This window comes from Homo sapiens, chromosome X, assembly GCF_000001405.40.
Source record: "Homo sapiens chromosome X, GRCh38.p14 Primary Assembly".
Classification (NCBI taxonomy): Eukaryota; Metazoa; Chordata; class Mammalia; order Primates; family Hominidae; genus Homo; species Homo sapiens.
This window is the reverse complement of record NC_000023.11, coordinates 100,705,328-100,722,164: the sequence shown is the minus strand read 5'-3', so window position 1 is coordinate 100,722,164 and position 16,837 is coordinate 100,705,328. Positions and strand designations below refer to the sequence as shown.

At 38.6% G+C, this 16,837-nt stretch overlaps 1 protein-coding gene across 19 annotated transcripts in view; it reads left to right on the top strand.

Moving 5' to 3' along the window:
* SYTL4 (synaptotagmin like 4) overlaps positions 1-16,837 on the top strand; it is a 57,631-nt gene that overhangs the window by 9,957 nt on the left and 30,837 nt on the right. Inside the window, exon 2 of one of the 19 annotated variants that reach the window (NM_001370168.1) lies at positions 8,748-8,865. The exons of 17 other annotated variants lie outside the window; for them this stretch is intronic. The gene's annotated coding sequence lies outside the window, so the exon portion shown is untranslated. Of the gene's footprint in view, positions 1-8,722; positions 8,866-16,837 lie in introns of all 19 variants that reach the window. One more of the 19 variants, NM_001370167.1, reaches the window with a different exon arrangement.

Below are 16,837 nucleotides of genomic sequence, written 5' to 3'. Positions count from 1 at the left end.
ATTTGCAGTGAAATTATGCATTATTGAGGATATTGACAAGAGTGCAGTTGAAACAATAGAATTGGCTGGGTGCGGTGGCTCACACCAGTAATCCCAGCACTTTGGGAGGCTGAGGCGGGTGGATCACCTGAGGTTAGGAGCTCGAGACCAGTCTGGCCAACATGGTGAAACCCCATCTCTACTAAAAATACAAAAATTAGCCGGGCATGGTGGCGCACACCTGTAATCCCAGCTACTTGGGAGGCTGAGGCAGGAGAATCGCTTGAATCCAGGAGGCAGTGGTTGCAGTGAGCCAAGATCATGCCACTGCACTCCAGCCAGAGCAATAGAGAAAAAGTCTCAGAAAAAAAAAAGAGAAAGAAACAATAAAATTTAAATGTTATTGGGAAGGAAGTAAAGATGGGAAGGAGCTGAGGAGGTGAAAGCAGAAGGGTCTATGGAAGACTGCCCCCATCCAAGAAATCTGAGAACAGGAATGGGGCTAGTTGGGGGGCTCATTGGCTGAATAGGCTAGAAGCACAGCAGGTTGTGGTCAGAGAGGGGGTGTTGAATCAGTGATATCAAAGGTGGAGAAGTCCTAGATGATAAGCTCTTGGGTGTGGCTGAATATGATATATGGTATTCTTGATGCCAGCTCATTCATTCAACAAATATTTATTTTGTGCATATTATGATCCAGGCAGTGCTCTAGGCACCAAAGGTACAGAAATGAACAAAACAAAGTCCCTTCTGTCATACAGCTTACAATCTAGTGGGGGAGATTATTTTTATAAACTAAAAGAACATCCTTATTGATGTGCTGATTCCTGTATGTGTAGCTTTATTTGTAACTAATGATAATACCAGGATCAAATATTTACATATATGGGGGCTAAGAAGGTCCATCTAGGCATTTTGAGTATCTTGCTTTATCTCAAGTTATACTTACTGAATTATGAAAACTCATACCTCTTTTCCCCTTAGAACTTTTTAAGGTATTTTTACTTACTATGTCAGTATTGAAAATAAACAAATATATACAAATCTAATTTGAATATTTCATTGGTTTTAATTTTTTATACTGTATTTTTTAAAAATATTAGGATATTGCTTCAAGCTGTAGACCAGATGTTGATAATGCATGTACTAATCTTGCTCTAGGGATTTGATGTAATGTGTAAAGTAATTATGGTTAAGCAGTTTAGGAGGGAAAGAGGGCTTGTAATAAGTTAATATTTTATGTTTATTTTTATATTATTCTCCAATTTATTTTATTATTTATACCTACCTTTTAATGTACATATGGTCATGTATATATTTATTAATATTTTATTTGAAAGAAATAAGCATTTATTTGGCATCTTATAGGCCTCAAGTAACACTTTAAAATTACCTGCCACGTATGCAATTCAATTTAAATTCAACTACAGGTTATTTTTTATTGTTTTAAGGTTTCTGTGGCCATAGCCAGATCACAGCATCCCTAAAATTAAAAAGAAACCAAATGCATGAAATCACAGTTATGTGTGAGCATGGGCTGGATTAGTCATGAACCATGATGATTTCACATTTAAGGGGACTGTGTGGGTAATTTTTAGGTGACATGGTCTGCAAGAAATAATCAGATGCCAGTTAGAGTTCAGTTTAGAAATCCCCACCATCTGTGATCCCAGCAGGAGAAGAGGGTCTTCCCTGCGGGGGTGCTGCATTATCAAAGCTTGTTGACTAAGGAAAGATAATAGTGTTCTGCGTGGGAGGTGATGAGGCTTATTGAAAAATAACAATGTGTCAGCTCTCACTGGACTTAAAAATGTTTTGTACATATAAATGACCTAGATTTTAAAACAGTCCATTCTTTTAGTTGGGGATTTTAGATTTTTTAAAAATCTAAAAAATGGGGCTGTCAAGGAAGGGGCTTTTGGCAGAGAAGAGGGTAAACTGGCCATCCTGCACCCATCAGCCTATGAGGCTCTTGTGTCTGGCTCATGTTAGAGGAAGCTTCAAATGTAGATTTTGAAAGCTGGAAAGCTAAATGGGATTTGTTTTAATATATGTATTTTCCCTGTTGCCAAGTAGGGTGTTTGGACACATGGTCTTTATAATATTTTAGAGTTACTTCTATGTATCACATTTATGGAAATCTGCCTTCTAGGATTGGTGGTGGGTTTAAGGCACCTTCTAGAGTTGCTGAGGAGCAGGGGACAAACGTGTAGAATCATGAAGGACCACATTTCCACATATCCAAAACAACCATTCTGCAGGAGAAATGAATATATAGTATTAAGATATCTGACTTCCTTCTGGGACTTGTTTTAGAGTTGTATATATTATTTTAAGTGGGAATTTCTACAAACCATTTATGAACAGAATTTGTTGGTATTGAAAGGTAGCTATGTGGATTCCATCTGGAGGAAATTGTCCCCACATATGATTCTAAGAGCTAACAAAAGAGGCATTTTAGTTACTACCACTGCCTTCTTCCACCCTGCTGCCCACCCCCACCCCCTGCCCCACCATTATGCACCTGCCATCTTTTAGGATGGATGTCCTGGATGAGGGGAATGAGTTATTGTCTTGTGTATAATGTTGCTTTGAGCTAGAGTTGCTCTGGCGTGTTACACATATTGCAGGAGGAGGTCAGGGGTCTGGGAAAGTAAGCCAGACTGAGGGCCTCTCAAACATTGTGTTTGTTATTAGCTGAAGACTTTTAGAAACCCCACCTCAAGTTCCTGAGGTTGATGTTCCCTTTTCCAAAAATCACCATATAGAGCAATATTGCCAGAATATGAAGAGACAGTATAATGTAATGTAACGGTTAAGAGCTTGGACTCTGGAACCAGACGGCCTGGGTCCAAAAACCAGACTGTCACAGGGCATGTGACCTTGAGCAAGTTATTTGCTCAATCTGTGCCTCACTTTCCTCATTTGTAAAGTGGACATAATAATTTAGTACCTACCTCATAGTGTGATTGTGAGGACTAAATAAAGTGCTTAGAAGAGTGCATGGTACATAATAAACATTATAGAAGTGTTAACTATCATTGTCATCATCTTCATCAGTTGGTGGATATCTTAAAAGGAGTGAAAACCGGCCAGGTGAGATGGCTAATGCCTGTAATCCCAGCACGTTGGGAGGCCGAGATGGGCAGATCACGAGGTCAGGCATTTGAGACCAGCCTGGCCAACATGGTGAAACCCTGTCTCTACTAAAAATACAAAAATTAGCCGGGTGTGATGGCACACACCTGTAATCCCAGCTACTGGGAGGCTGAGGCAGGAGAATCCCTTGAACCCAGGAGGCGGAGGTTGAGGTGAGCTGAGATGGCGCTGCCTAACTCCAGCCTGGGCAACAGAGTGAGACTCCATCTCACACAAAAAAAAAAAAAGGAGTGAAAAGCACAAAATGCCTCAGCACATGCAAACTCTACTTTTGTAGAATCTATTTTGAAAAGGATCGTAGGGAGCCAAAACCTTACTGCAAAATCAGAATTTTGTAAAATTAAGAGCTAGTTGTAAATTTCTCATTGTTAGGGAAAAATACAGCTTTGCTCCCATACAACTTTTGAGAATGGATTTGTGAAGGCAGGCCCTAGGGGATTTTATGTGAGGCATAGATGTGCTCCATGGATGGACAGGTGAGGGTCTAGACCCCAGCTGACTCCTAGGAAGCCTCAGTTGCCCTTTGGTTTTGGAGCCTTGATACTGACTCTACCAGTTTGTCTCCACTCCTATTTTTCTTCTTTTTGATCCTATTTTTAAAATTTATGATATTTTTTGATGTTTTATGAATCTTTGTAAGTCACTTTAAATCCTGTCTGGAACAGTGTATAAATAAATATCCTTTAAACTGATCATATCTAATTACTAACATTTGCTTCATATTTATGCTTGTCAGCCTCCCTCCATGCAGAGAGGTACGGTGACCTTCCATCTAGGCAAGAATACTGATTAGATTTCTCAAATTTCATAGAAAGATGTCAAAACTGCCATATGCTCATATATTTTCCAAAGCATATGGTTAATAATAATTAAAACTAAACAGCTACCAATATTGGGTGCTTACTCTAGGCCAGGCACTATGCTATGCCTTTTACTCATGATGCATGCTTGAATCCTCAAAGCCATAGGCAGGAGCTCTTATTATTAATCCTCATTTTTACAAATGGGGAAACAGACTCAAGGAGGTTAAATAACTTGCCCAAAGTTAATTCAGGGAAAAAGCAAAGCTGTGATTTTAACCCAGGCAGCTCAGATCCAGTGCTTTTAAGCACAATTCTATGCTATACTGTCCTTAATTAGAAATCTAGCACATCAGAACTCCAAGTCCTAGTATAAGAGGCCGTACTTGTGTTACAGAACATTCACAGGTCCTGCAGATTTTCTCTCCGTGTAATGTCTTTAATATGCCCCTTTCCATCTCTAGTGCCACTGCCCTCTACTCTTGGCTCTTGTTATCTTTCCCCTGGATTTATGCCACAGCCTCCTCAAATCCATAGTCTGCAAAATTGTCAGTGTGCCCTAACAAGTCCTTGCTTTACATAAAACTCTTCAATGATTTCTGTTGTCAAAGGCTAATTAGCCGTGTTTTTGCGCGTAGCATATGGAGCACCCGCCAGCCACACATGATGTGATTCCCCACCTGCCTCTTCCGCATTCTCCCTTACAATTTAAACCAACCAGCATCATTGTATTACTTGCTCATACCACGTTGCTTTATGCCTCCATGCTTTTGTAAGTGCTACGCACTTTGCCTGGAAAGCCCTCGTTCTCCTGCTTATCCAGCTGAAAAACATTAATTTACAATCAGTTCATGTGCTACTGCTGGATATTCTCTTTCTAGTTCCCTTTCCCCAAGCTGAATTATGTGCCCTCCCTTGGTATTCTTATAATATCTCATGCATATATTTCTTTGGTTACCATGTTTTTTTTTTAGGATTATTTAAGTGTCTCTGTTACTAAACTGTGAACTCTGTGGGCATGGACTAGCTCTGTTCTTTTCTTCTTAGCCAGCTAGTGTACCGCTTAGCACATAGTTGGCCCTCCTAACTAGTGAGCATTCTGTAACAGTGCAGAATACAGAGCTCTAGGACAGGGAAAGAAGTAAGATTTGGAAGGCCTGAAACTGTGCACACATTCAAAGATAATTACCAGGACAGCAGAAGGAGCTCTTGCAGAAAAATCTTTGGGGCCAGGTAATTTACATTATTTAACCCAAGAGCCAGAAAGGATGTGGGGAGATGGGAGCTGGGGTCTGAATCCAAAGGGAACTTTGAAACTTCTAAGAAGCCAGACTTAGCAGCTTTATAAATTGAAACTTCCTTGAATTTGTCTGAGTAGCCTGGAATAGGTATCTAAGACAGTTACATTTTAATAAGAATATTTATAGTTTTCTAGGAGAGACATCACCCTAAAATTGAAAGGGGCAGTTGATACAATAACCAACACAATATCCCAAAGCAATTATTTTATTGACTGTAAGCAATGTTGTATGCTCATGCAAATGTTACCAGTAAGATGTTATCCATTGGTATTTTTGTGCATAGGTGGCTGGATCCAGACAAGGGGATTTTAGGAAGCCCTGCATCCCTGGAAGCTTTCTTTTCTACTTGAGTTTTTTTCTTTTTTTTTTTTTTTTTTTTAAGTTTTGCAGACCACCATATACTCTGGATTTGGTTTCATTTTTCCGTGCTCTAAAATCAACTTTTTTTTTTTTTTTTTTTTTTTTTTTTTTTTTTGAGATGGAGTTTTGCTCTTGTTGCCCAGGCTGGAGTGCAGTGGTGTGATCTCAGCTCACCGCAACCTCTGCCTCTCAGGTTCACGTGATTCTTCTGCCTCAGCCTTCCCGAGTAGCTGGGATTACAGGCATGCACCACCATGCCAGGGTAATTTTGTATTTTTAGTAGAGACGGAGTTTCTCCGTGTTGGTCAGGCTGGTCTTGAACTCCCAACCTCAGGTGATCCGCCCGCCTCGGCCTCCCAAAGTGCTGAGATTACAGACGTGAGCCACCGCTCCCGGCCAAATCAACTCTTTTACCTTTAGATTATCAAATAACTAGTCCCCCGCCCATCGGTACTAGATTTTGCTACCTTTTAGGGCTATGCTTCACCCATGTTCTGGAAACCCACACAAATAATACGTATTAGTTTTGACAGTACTTTAGCTTGATCTGCTTTAGATGCTGTCATTGCCTTTGTCACAATTAGTTAATAGAGTCCACTTTTTTTTTTTTTTTTTTTTTTGAGAGAGAGAGAAAAGGTCTTATTCTGTCACCCAGGCTGGAGTGCAGTGGCCCAATCTTGGCTCACTGTAGCCTTGACCTCCCGGGCTCAGGTGATCCTCCCACCTCAGCCTTCCAAGTAGCTGGGATTACAGGCACATACCACCACACCTGGCTAATTTGTGTGTGTGTCTGTGTCTGTGTGTGTGTAGAGAGATGGGGTTTCACCGTGTAGTCCAGGCTGGTCTCAAACTCCTGGGCTCAAGAGATCCTCCCACCTCGGCTTCACAAATTGCTAGGATGAGCCACCTCACCTAGCCTAGAGTCCACTTTTGAATGTGTCTTATGACAGCAAAAATTCTTATTCATTATGCTGTACTACTTGCATAAGAGCAACTGCATTACAATCATCAGAATGATTTATTCTTTCCTAATTAACATACATCATATCTCTATGCAAGCAGAATCATGAAAATATATGGCAATTTGTAGAATAGTTTCCCTTAACCAGCCTTTAAGTAAAGGACTTCCTAGCTTTTTTGATTACTCACCTTTATCACCCCAAATTTTTATCACTCCTAAAATAAGTATTTATAAACTACATTATTTACCACTGTATTGGTCATATATTATAAAGCATGCACAGGCCAGGTGTGGTGTCTCATGCCTGTAATCCCAGCCCTTTGGGAGGCCGAGGCAGGAGGATCACTTGAGTCTAAGAGTTCGAGACCAGCCTGGGCAACATGGTGAAACCCCATCTCTACAAAAAATAAAAACAAAGTAGCCAGGTGTGGTGGCTTGTGCCTGCAATCCCAGCTACTGGGGAGGCTGAGGTGGGAGAATTGCTTGAGTCCAGGAGGTCAAGGCTACACTGAGCTACGATTGTGCCGCTGCACTCCAGCTTGGGTGACAGAGTGAGACTCTGTCTCAAAGAAAAAGCACAAAAATGGAAATAAAGAAGGATGAGAGATTAAATGAACTTTTAAAAAATAATTCTAATATTTATTAATGGTACAATAACCTTTGCTCTCATTTTGATGAGGCCAGTGACATTAAATGTGCTTCATTTAAACAAAATTTTGGTTTATGATACAGCTACTTGAACATCTGATTCTAACTTCTGTTTATTTTTATACTTGATTTTAATGACTGATGCCTCACAAAGTATATACATTTTAAAATAAAAGAAGTATATTGTTTGGATGCACTTACTAAATAATCATACTCATATTACAGTTCCAGGCACCAGTTATGCAAACATTTTATTGCTGTTCCTGAACCTGCTGTCTTTTATGTTTTTGACAAATTGAAAAGTTAAAACGTGAAACATCTTTTAGATAACAAAACTGTGTAGTAAGGGAAATATTTCAAACCTACTCTGTATTGTTTATTCTCTATTAAAAAACCTTGGCCAGGCACGGTGGCTCACGCCTGTAATCCCCGCACTTTGGGAGGCTGAGGTGGGCAGATCACGAGGTCAGGAGATCGAGACCATCCTGGCTAACACGGTGAAACCCTGTCTCTACTAGAAATACAAAAAATTAGCCGGGTGTGGTGGCGGGTGCCTGTAGTCCCAGCTACTCGGGAGGCTGAGGCAGGAGAATGGCGTGAACCCAGGAGGCGGAGCTTGCAGTGAGCCAAGATCGTGCCACTGCACTCCAGCCTGGGCAACAGCAAGACTCCATCTCAAAAAAAAAAAAAAAATCTTGACATAAAATATTTTAGTGTTTCAATTAATTTAAAGGCTCCTAGTGTCTTGTAGGTATTCTGGGATTGGAAAACATGATTACAAGAAGAAAGTTTAGTTACATTTAATATTAAAATGTTTAAAAACATTTTATTGAACTACAATAGACAAATTATATATAAAGTATACAATTTGACAAATTTTGACATCTGTATATATCCATGAAACTATCACCAGAATTAAGATATTGAACATCTATCACCTCCAAAAGTTTCCTTGTGCCATGTTGTAATCCTTCCTTCTTGTCCCTGTGTGCTATTACCCTCCTTACCCCCGTCAACTCCTGAAACCACTGATTCTGTTTTCTGACACTATGTATTTTCTAGAATTTTATATAAATGAAATCATACAGTGTTTTTTTTTTGCCTGACTTATTTCAGTCAGCATAATTATTTTGAGATTCGTTCATGTTGCTATGTGTATCAGTAGTTCATTCTTCTCTATTGCTAAGTAGTATTCCATTGCATGGGTATACTACAATTTGTTTATCCATTTACCTCTTAGTAGGCATTTGGGCTGTTTCCAGATTTGGGCTATTACCAATAATGCTGTTAACATTTCCATGCAAATCTGTGTAGGCATATGCTTTTTTTTTTCCCCCTTTTGAGGCAAAGTCTCACTCTGTTGCCCAGGCTGGAGTGCAGTGGCGCAATCTTGGCTCACTGCAACCTCCACCTCCCAGGTTCAAGCGATTCTCCCACCTCAGCCTCCCAAGTAACTGGGATTACAGGCATGCACCACCACACCCAGCTAAGTTTTGTTTTTGTTTTCTTTTGAGACGGAGTTTCCCTCTTGTTGCCCAGGCTGGAGTATAGTGGCACGATCTCAGCTCACTGCAACCACCACCTCCCTGGTTCAAGCTATTCTCCTGCCTCAGCCTCCCAAGTAGCTGGGATTACAGGTGCCTGCCACCACACCTGGGTAATTTTTTGTATTTTTAGTAGAGACGGGGTTTCACCATGTTGATCGGCTGGCTTCAAATTCCTGACCTCAAGCGATCCGCCCACCTTGGCCTCCCAAAGTGCTGGGATTGTGGGTGTGAGCCACCACGTCCGGCCTACGTATGCTTTTGCTTTTCTTGGATAAATACCAAAAGTGGAAAGCCTGGGTCATATGGGAGATATATGTTTAACTTTTTAAGAAACTGCTAAGCTGTTTTCCAATATGGCTATACCATTTCACATTCCCACTGTAGTGTATGAGAGTTCCAGTTGCTTCAAATGCCGGCCAACATTTGGTGCATTTTAAATTTTGGTCATTCTAATAAGTATGTAGTGATATCTCATTGTGGTTTTAGTTTGCATTTCCCTAATGATTAATGATGTTGATCATGTTTTCATGTGTTTATTTGCTATTTGTATATCTTCTTTGGTGATATGTTTATTCATATCTTTTGTCTATTCATATCATTGTCTATTTTTTAAATTTGTGTTTTTAAAAATATTGTAGAGTTCTGAGAGTTCTTTATATATGCTGGATATAAGTCCTTATCAGATATACTAGTTGCAAATATTTTCTTCCAGTATACTGCTTATCTTTTTATTTTCTAATAAAGTTCTTACAAAGCAGAGGTTTTAAATTTTGATGAAGCCTAATTTATCAAGTTCTGGATCACGTTTTACGTGTCATGTCAGAAATGCTTGCTTTTTTTGTTTCATATGGATATCTAGTTTTTCCAGCACTACTTGTTGAAAAGACTGCCATTTCTCCACTAAACTTCCCTTAACCTTTATTTAAAAAATCAAGTGACTATAAACATGAGGGCTTATTTCCATACTCTCTATTCTGTTCGTTTATTTGTCTGTCTTCCTGCCCAGTACCACATTGACTTGATTACTGTGGATTTATAGTGTCTCTTAAAATCAGGTTAAGTTTCCGCTTTGTTCTACCATATGTTTTGAACCTCACAATATATCGTTATTTTTCCTTTAAACGGTCGATTATATTTTAAAAGAGATTTAAATAATAAGAAAAAAGTATTTTTACCTACATTGTTACCATTGCATGTGCTCTGTATCCCTTTTTGTAAACCTATATTTCTGTGCAGTACCATTTTCTTTCTGCTTCAAGGACTTCCTTTAACACTTTTTATAGTGCAGGTCTGCTGGTGATTAATTCTTTCAACTTTTGCATGTCTGAAAAAGTCTTTATTTCACCTCTGTTTTTGAATGATATCTTGCTGGGTGTAGAATTCTATCTAGGTTGATGGTTGTTTTTTTTCTTTCAGTATTTTAGAGAGGTTGTTCTGTCTTTACACTTGCATTGATTCCAATGATAAATTTGCTTTTATCATTATCTTTGTTCATCTGTATATATATAATGTGTCCTTCCCCAAGACCCCAACCCCACCCCACCCCACCACTCTAGCTTCTTTTAAGATTTTCCCATTGTTTCTGGTTTTAAGCAATTTATGGTGTGCCACATGGTATATTTTTCTTTATGTTTCTGGTGCTTTATGTTCATAGAGCTTCTTGGATCTGTGAGTTTATAGTGTTCACCAAATTTGGGCCATTATTTTTGGTGACATCAATGACATGTATAGAAGGTAGCTTGATGTTGTCCCATAGCTCATTAATTCCTTTTTCTTTTTTTCAGTTTTTTCTGTGTTCCATTTTGAATAATTTCTATTGCTATGTCTTCAAGTTCTTAACTCTTTTCTACTGTAATGTCCAATTTGCTGTTAATCCCAACGAGTGTGTTTTTCATCTCAGACATTGTACCTTTTATCCATAGGTTTGATTTGAGTCTTTTTACATCTCCCATGTCCCCTGCCTAGCTTTTTGAACATATAGAATGCAGTTATAATAACTGCTTTGATGACTTTGTTTACTAATTCTAACATTTGTGTCAGTTCTTGGTCTTTTTGATTGATTTTTCTCATTATTATGGATCATATTTTCTTGCTTTTTTGCATGCCTGTTAGTTTTTTACTGGGTACCAAATATTATGAATTTGACCTTGTTGAGTACTGCATATTTTTGTATTACTATAAGTATACTTGCTCTCTGTTCTGGGATGCCCTTAAATTACTTGGATACAGAGTGACCCTTTCAGGTTTTGCTGTTTAGATTTGTTAGGCAGGACCAGAGCAGTGCATAATCTGGGCTATTTCCCACTACTGAGGCAAGACCCTTCTGAGTCCTTCAGCTAGTGTCCCGTGAATCATGACGTTTTCCAATTTGGCTGGCGGAAACAGGCACTATTCTTAGCCCTGTGTGAGTGACAGGCATTGTTCTTTTGAATCCTTTCAGGTAGTTCTTTCCCTGGCCTAGAGTAATTTCCTCACAGGCATACCATGGGCTAATCAGTCCTTTGCTAAACACTTGAGTGAAACCTTCTGCAGGCCTCTGAAGATCTCTTTCTCTTTCTGTGGAGCTCTCTCAGGTCCTCTGTCCTATGAACTCCAGCTACCTGGTTTTTTTCCCAGACTCTCAGCTCTGTCTCCAGAACTCAGGGAGTTCACTAGGCTCTACCTGGGTTCTTCCTTTCTGTACCATTATCTGGAAATTCTCTTAAGACAGTAAGCTGGGAAAATCAAAGGGCTCACCTTATGTGTTTTCCATCTCAGAAATCATAATCCTTCATTGCCTGATGTTCAGTGATTTGAAAACCATTGTTTCATGTATTTGGTACATTTGTTGTTGTTGTTATTGTTTCAGGCAGGGTGGAAATTCATTCCACCTTGACATTTTATAATCTCCAATTATGACCAATTAAAATTTGTAGCCCAATTTAAATTCTCATCTTTCGAAAAAAGTGTAGACACCATCACATTTCTTGACGTAGCTAAATCAGTTCTGAATACCCATGTTCAAAAGTATACAGAATCTGGCATGCAGCAGTATAAATCTCACATCAGTATAAAACTCATTGATCAGTTTCGGTGTAAAACATAGTATCATTTTAAAAAGAGCAGTTTAATTCAGGCTTCTTGGTTAAATGAATATATTTTGAAAGACTCTGGTTCACTTTTTCATGTTCAGTGAGGTATTGTCCATTGTCCTTAGCCTAAACAGCAAAATACTTTTATTACATCACTTTGGCAGGATATGATAATCCATTAGAATGTATTTGCAAAACCATCATATAATTACTACTTATAACTTTAGAGAATAATTTAATATCAGTTCAGCCTTTTGGCCCTTGAGCATGGGTCAATTTTTAAGAAAATCTTCTGTCATCTATAAGGCTGTCAGCATGGTTCCTCACTTCAAAAACAGTGGCCTGTGATTAATGCATTAAAATTAATCACTATAAATTCATCCATGTACCCAAAAACTACTTGTACCCCAAAAGCTATTGAAATAAAAAAATTTAAAGAACAATAACAATAGCCTGAAACTTTAACTGACGTCTAGACAGTTTAACTCACAATTCATCTGCATTCTTTAAAAGAAAATAAATGTCATTTTCTAAGACCTAGTTAAGTCCGAAAGCACAAATGAACATATACAAACTGACAAAAATAGGTAACACTTAGCATTCTTTGTGTTCTCATTACTTTAAGCACTTTACGTATTTTAAAAACTCATTTAATCTTTATAAAAACAAGCCCCAAAGGATAGGTACAATTTTTATCTTCATTTTGCAAGTGAGGAAATTGAGGTACTGAGAGGATTAGTAACTTACCCAAGGTCACACAGCTAGTAAATGTGGAAGTTGGGATTCAAGTTCAGGCAGTCTGGCTCAATTCCAAGCTTTTTGTTTGTTTGTTTTATGGACACAGAGTCTCACTCTGTCGCCCAGGCTGGAGTGCAGTTGCACCATCTTGGCTCACTGCAACTTCCGCCTCCCAGGTTCGAGCCATTCTCTGCCTCAGCGTCCTGAGTATCTGGGACTACAGGCGCAAGCCACCATGCCTGGCTAATTTTTTTTTTTTTTTGTATTTTTTGTAGAGACAGGGTTTCACCATGTTGGCCAGGCTGGCCTCAAACTCCTGGCCTCAAGTGATCCACCCGCCTTAGCCTCCCAAAATGCTGGGATTGCAGGTGTGAGCCACCCACCTGGCCCAGAGTCCAAGCTTTTAACCACAGCTCACACACTGCCTCAGGAAAACAAAAACATTTTTCTCTCAGCTCTATTACAGCTCTTCAATTTCCATGGGTTTAAGTTTAAACATGTAAACACAGATAGATTTCTGGGTAAAGACATTCACTAGACTTTTGTTGAACTCATACTGTGTGTCACACACTGTGCCAAGCTCCTGGGGCTATGATATCCAGATATAGTACCTACCTTCAAAGAGGTTACGTCTGGTAGATGTTTCTAGTTTGAGCATAAGTACCATATATTACCATCTTCACTTTTATGTGTGGCCTGCATGCAACACAGCAAAATCTGTTGTATTTGCTGTCCAGGGCAGGGACATTACTTGTGTCTTCCTAATTCACATCAGTTTTCATTTTGGGAACACCAATGATTACTTTTAATCTGAGTACTATTCTTACAAGGAATTCTATATTTTAGTCATCTTTTTAATATTCTAGTCTCATGCCCAAGGTCATATAGCTAAAAATAGCAGAGCTAGGATTTGAACCCAAGTCTGTCTTTCACCACTATTTTCATTATTCTATGCTTCCTGTCAAGTTTTGCCTAGCTTTTCATTTTTAAAATTGGTCTTTAGAATTTGAAATAATTTGAGATAGCTCACCCATCCCCTTCTTGAAAACCAGTTGTGTTAGTGTTTATTTTCATTCATTGTTATTATTTCTCAATCATTAGGATTAGGATATAGACTGGATATATCTAGTTGGATATGGAATTCTACATATGTCCTTTAGATCAAGCTTATTGTGTTGTTCACCTTGTCTACATATTTACTAATTTTTCATCTGTTATACTATCAGTAATTGAGAGAGGTATGGTAACTTCCCATTTTTATGGTAGATTTAGTTTTTCCTTTGGTTTTGTAAGTATTTGCATTAACATATTATCCTCATTTTTTAGTAGTAAATATGTATAATTGCTAAGTAAGCCATCTTTTCTTTTTTTTAATTTTTTTTATTATACTTTAAGTTCTGGGATACCAGAATGTGCAGGTTTGTTACATAGGTATACACGTGCCATGGTGGTTTCCTGCACCCATCAACCCGTCATCTACATTAGGTATTTCTCCTAATGCTATCCCTCCCCTAGCCCCCCACCCCCGACAGGCCCCGGTGTATGATGTTCCCCTCCCTGTGTCCATGTGTTCTCGTTGTTCAACTCCCGCTTATGAGAGAACATGCGGTGTTTGGTTTTCTGTTCTTGTGATAGTTTGCTGAGAATGATACAAACCACCTTTTCTAAAATATATTTTTATGGGCATGGGTCCCACAAGGATGCTATATTAAGATACTTCATCTGAGTCTTGACACCTCAGGACTAACACAGAACAAGTTGTCCATCTGAGCTCAGATTCTGACACTCATGTTACCTGAGCCGTGGTCTTCTCAATAGATAATCTTGCCTTTTTGACTGTACACCTGGGACTGAATGTAATGAAGGGTCTTAAGTTTTCTTGGGCTTTGGTTTCTCTATTAAACCCTAGTAGCCATAAATTGGGAGTATCCGATTAGTCATAGCTTTTCTAACTTCACATCTATCTGGTTTTCTTATTATAACTGTATTTGTGCCTCCATTATTTTCCTGAGTTCTAGTTTTCAAAATATGATGTACTATTTACCATAAAAATATATCACTTGGTTTATTGCATATGAAAGCTGTATTTTTCTTTCATATTTTCCTTTTTGAATTTCTAGAGAACATTCTATGCCATAGTATGGGGAGTAGTGATGGTAGTGAGGTAGGAGGCAGGTATTTTCCTCTAAGATGTTAAGGATAGATTTAGTACCATTATGATCTCTTCTTTGACATGTGGGTTATTTAGAAGTGTCTTTATAAATTTTAAAAAAAAGTATTGTGATAAGAAATTACCTTATTTTAAATTGATTTCTTATTTAATTTAATTTCCTCGAAGTCAGAGACTGGTCTGTATGGGAAGGATTTTTTAAAAAAATTATGCAGACTTGCATTACAGCCTAGTACATGGTCAGTTTTGGGAGTAAATATTCTATATGTGCTTGAAAATAATGTAATTCTCCAGTTGGATATAGACTTTTTTTGTATTCCTATTAAATCAAGCTCATTTTGTTGTTCAACTTGTCTATATATTTACTAGTTTGTATCTGCTTGTACCATTCATAATTGCAACAACAAAGAAGTATATGTTAACCTCTCATTTTGATGGTTGATTTTTCAATTTCTCTCTTTTGTTCCTTTGTATATTTAGTGATGTTTTATTAGTGGGTGCATATTTATTATCTCTATGTAGTGATCTTATCTAACCTTTATAAAGCTTTTATTGTCTTTTTTACTTTTAGATATTAATATAGCTACCTCAGCTTTCTTTTGGCTAGCATTTACCTGGTATATCTTTTCCTATCTTTTTACTTTCAATTTTCCCTTCAATTTATGTTTTAGATGTGTCTCTCATAAATGGCACATAACTGGATTTTTTCCTTTTATCCAGTCTGTTAATTCCTGTATTTCAAAGGGTGAATTTTGCTCATATATGAGTTTCATATTCATTGATATACTTGAACTTGTTTTTACCATTTTACCTTTTGTTTTCTCTTTGTCTCAGTTTTTTCTGCACTTACCTTTGTCTTCTTGCCTTTTAATTTTTGTTCTTAATTTGTTTTCTGCTCCTCATTACTGATTCTGCAAGATCCCATTGCAAACAAGCTGGCTGTTAACAGGGTTAGTGTTGGAAACAACAGCAACCTATGGTGGAAGGTGGGGCTTGGGGTGGGATATGGCTTTTCTGAAAGGAGTCAGATTGGCAAGTGATGGGGAAGAGGAGGCAGGGAGCTGATAGAGTCCATGTCTGATGGTCTTACAAAAACCTTTTTACAAGTATGAGACAAGCATGTCTGATGGGACTGGAGGGAAGGGAAGTGGGAGTGTGAGATGAATGAAGGCTTGAATAGAACCCAAAGGGACTAGGTAAAGGAATTGAACAAGCATAAGTAACAGAATTTATGGGTGACAATGAGGGTTCAGCTGAGGTTGTAGACCAGGAATTATGTAGAACCTGGGTATAGGAGCAGACAAGGCAGGCTAGAGCATTAGCACAGGTTTGGGATTTTCATGGGCAGTTGTGGCAGAGGGATGAAGGTATATGGATATGGAAGGTACTGGTGAGAGTGGTTCAAATGTTGAGCCATCTGGAGTCCAGGATGGGTATGGGGGGAAGATAGATCAGCAGAAGGCAAGTGGACCAAGAGACAATGTGGGGCTCAAGAGACTGTGGTCTTGATAAAGTTGAAGAACAGATAGAGCAGGAGTGAGCTGTGGTTGGAAAGTGGGAATTCTTGAATTTAAGATTTCAGAGGGGGCAGTTCTGGTTGGTCAGGTCCATAAATGAAAAAGAAAGGGCAGATGTACAATATTGGTAGTTCCATTTTCTTAAGATACTATCTTTATTTCCTCAAGGATCTTCTTACTTCCCTGGATTTTGATATTACTTGGTCTCATTATTATGCCAACGTGCCTTTCTCATCACAATATTCTGCTGCCTCTCCACAAGCACCAGTTTTTAAATCTGATATGGTTCTCATTTCTAGTGTGCCTGTGCTATCCTTGCTTTTTAGCTGACAGGTAACTGATAATACCTCTTTTATCCAGGAGCCACTGATTTTTTTGCGCAGTGTTTCAGCCGTAATCACACATATGGGAATTCATTTCCACAATGCTTTTGATTTGTCTGTTTAGTACTTTATAGTTGCTTTGGTTATAATTCTGCCTAGACTGAGCCTGTAGAGCACCAACTCTGGTATCAGATTGCCTGGGCTTGAATCCCTGCAATTTCACTTACTTGCTCTTTATTCTTGGGCAAGTTAGCCTAACCTCT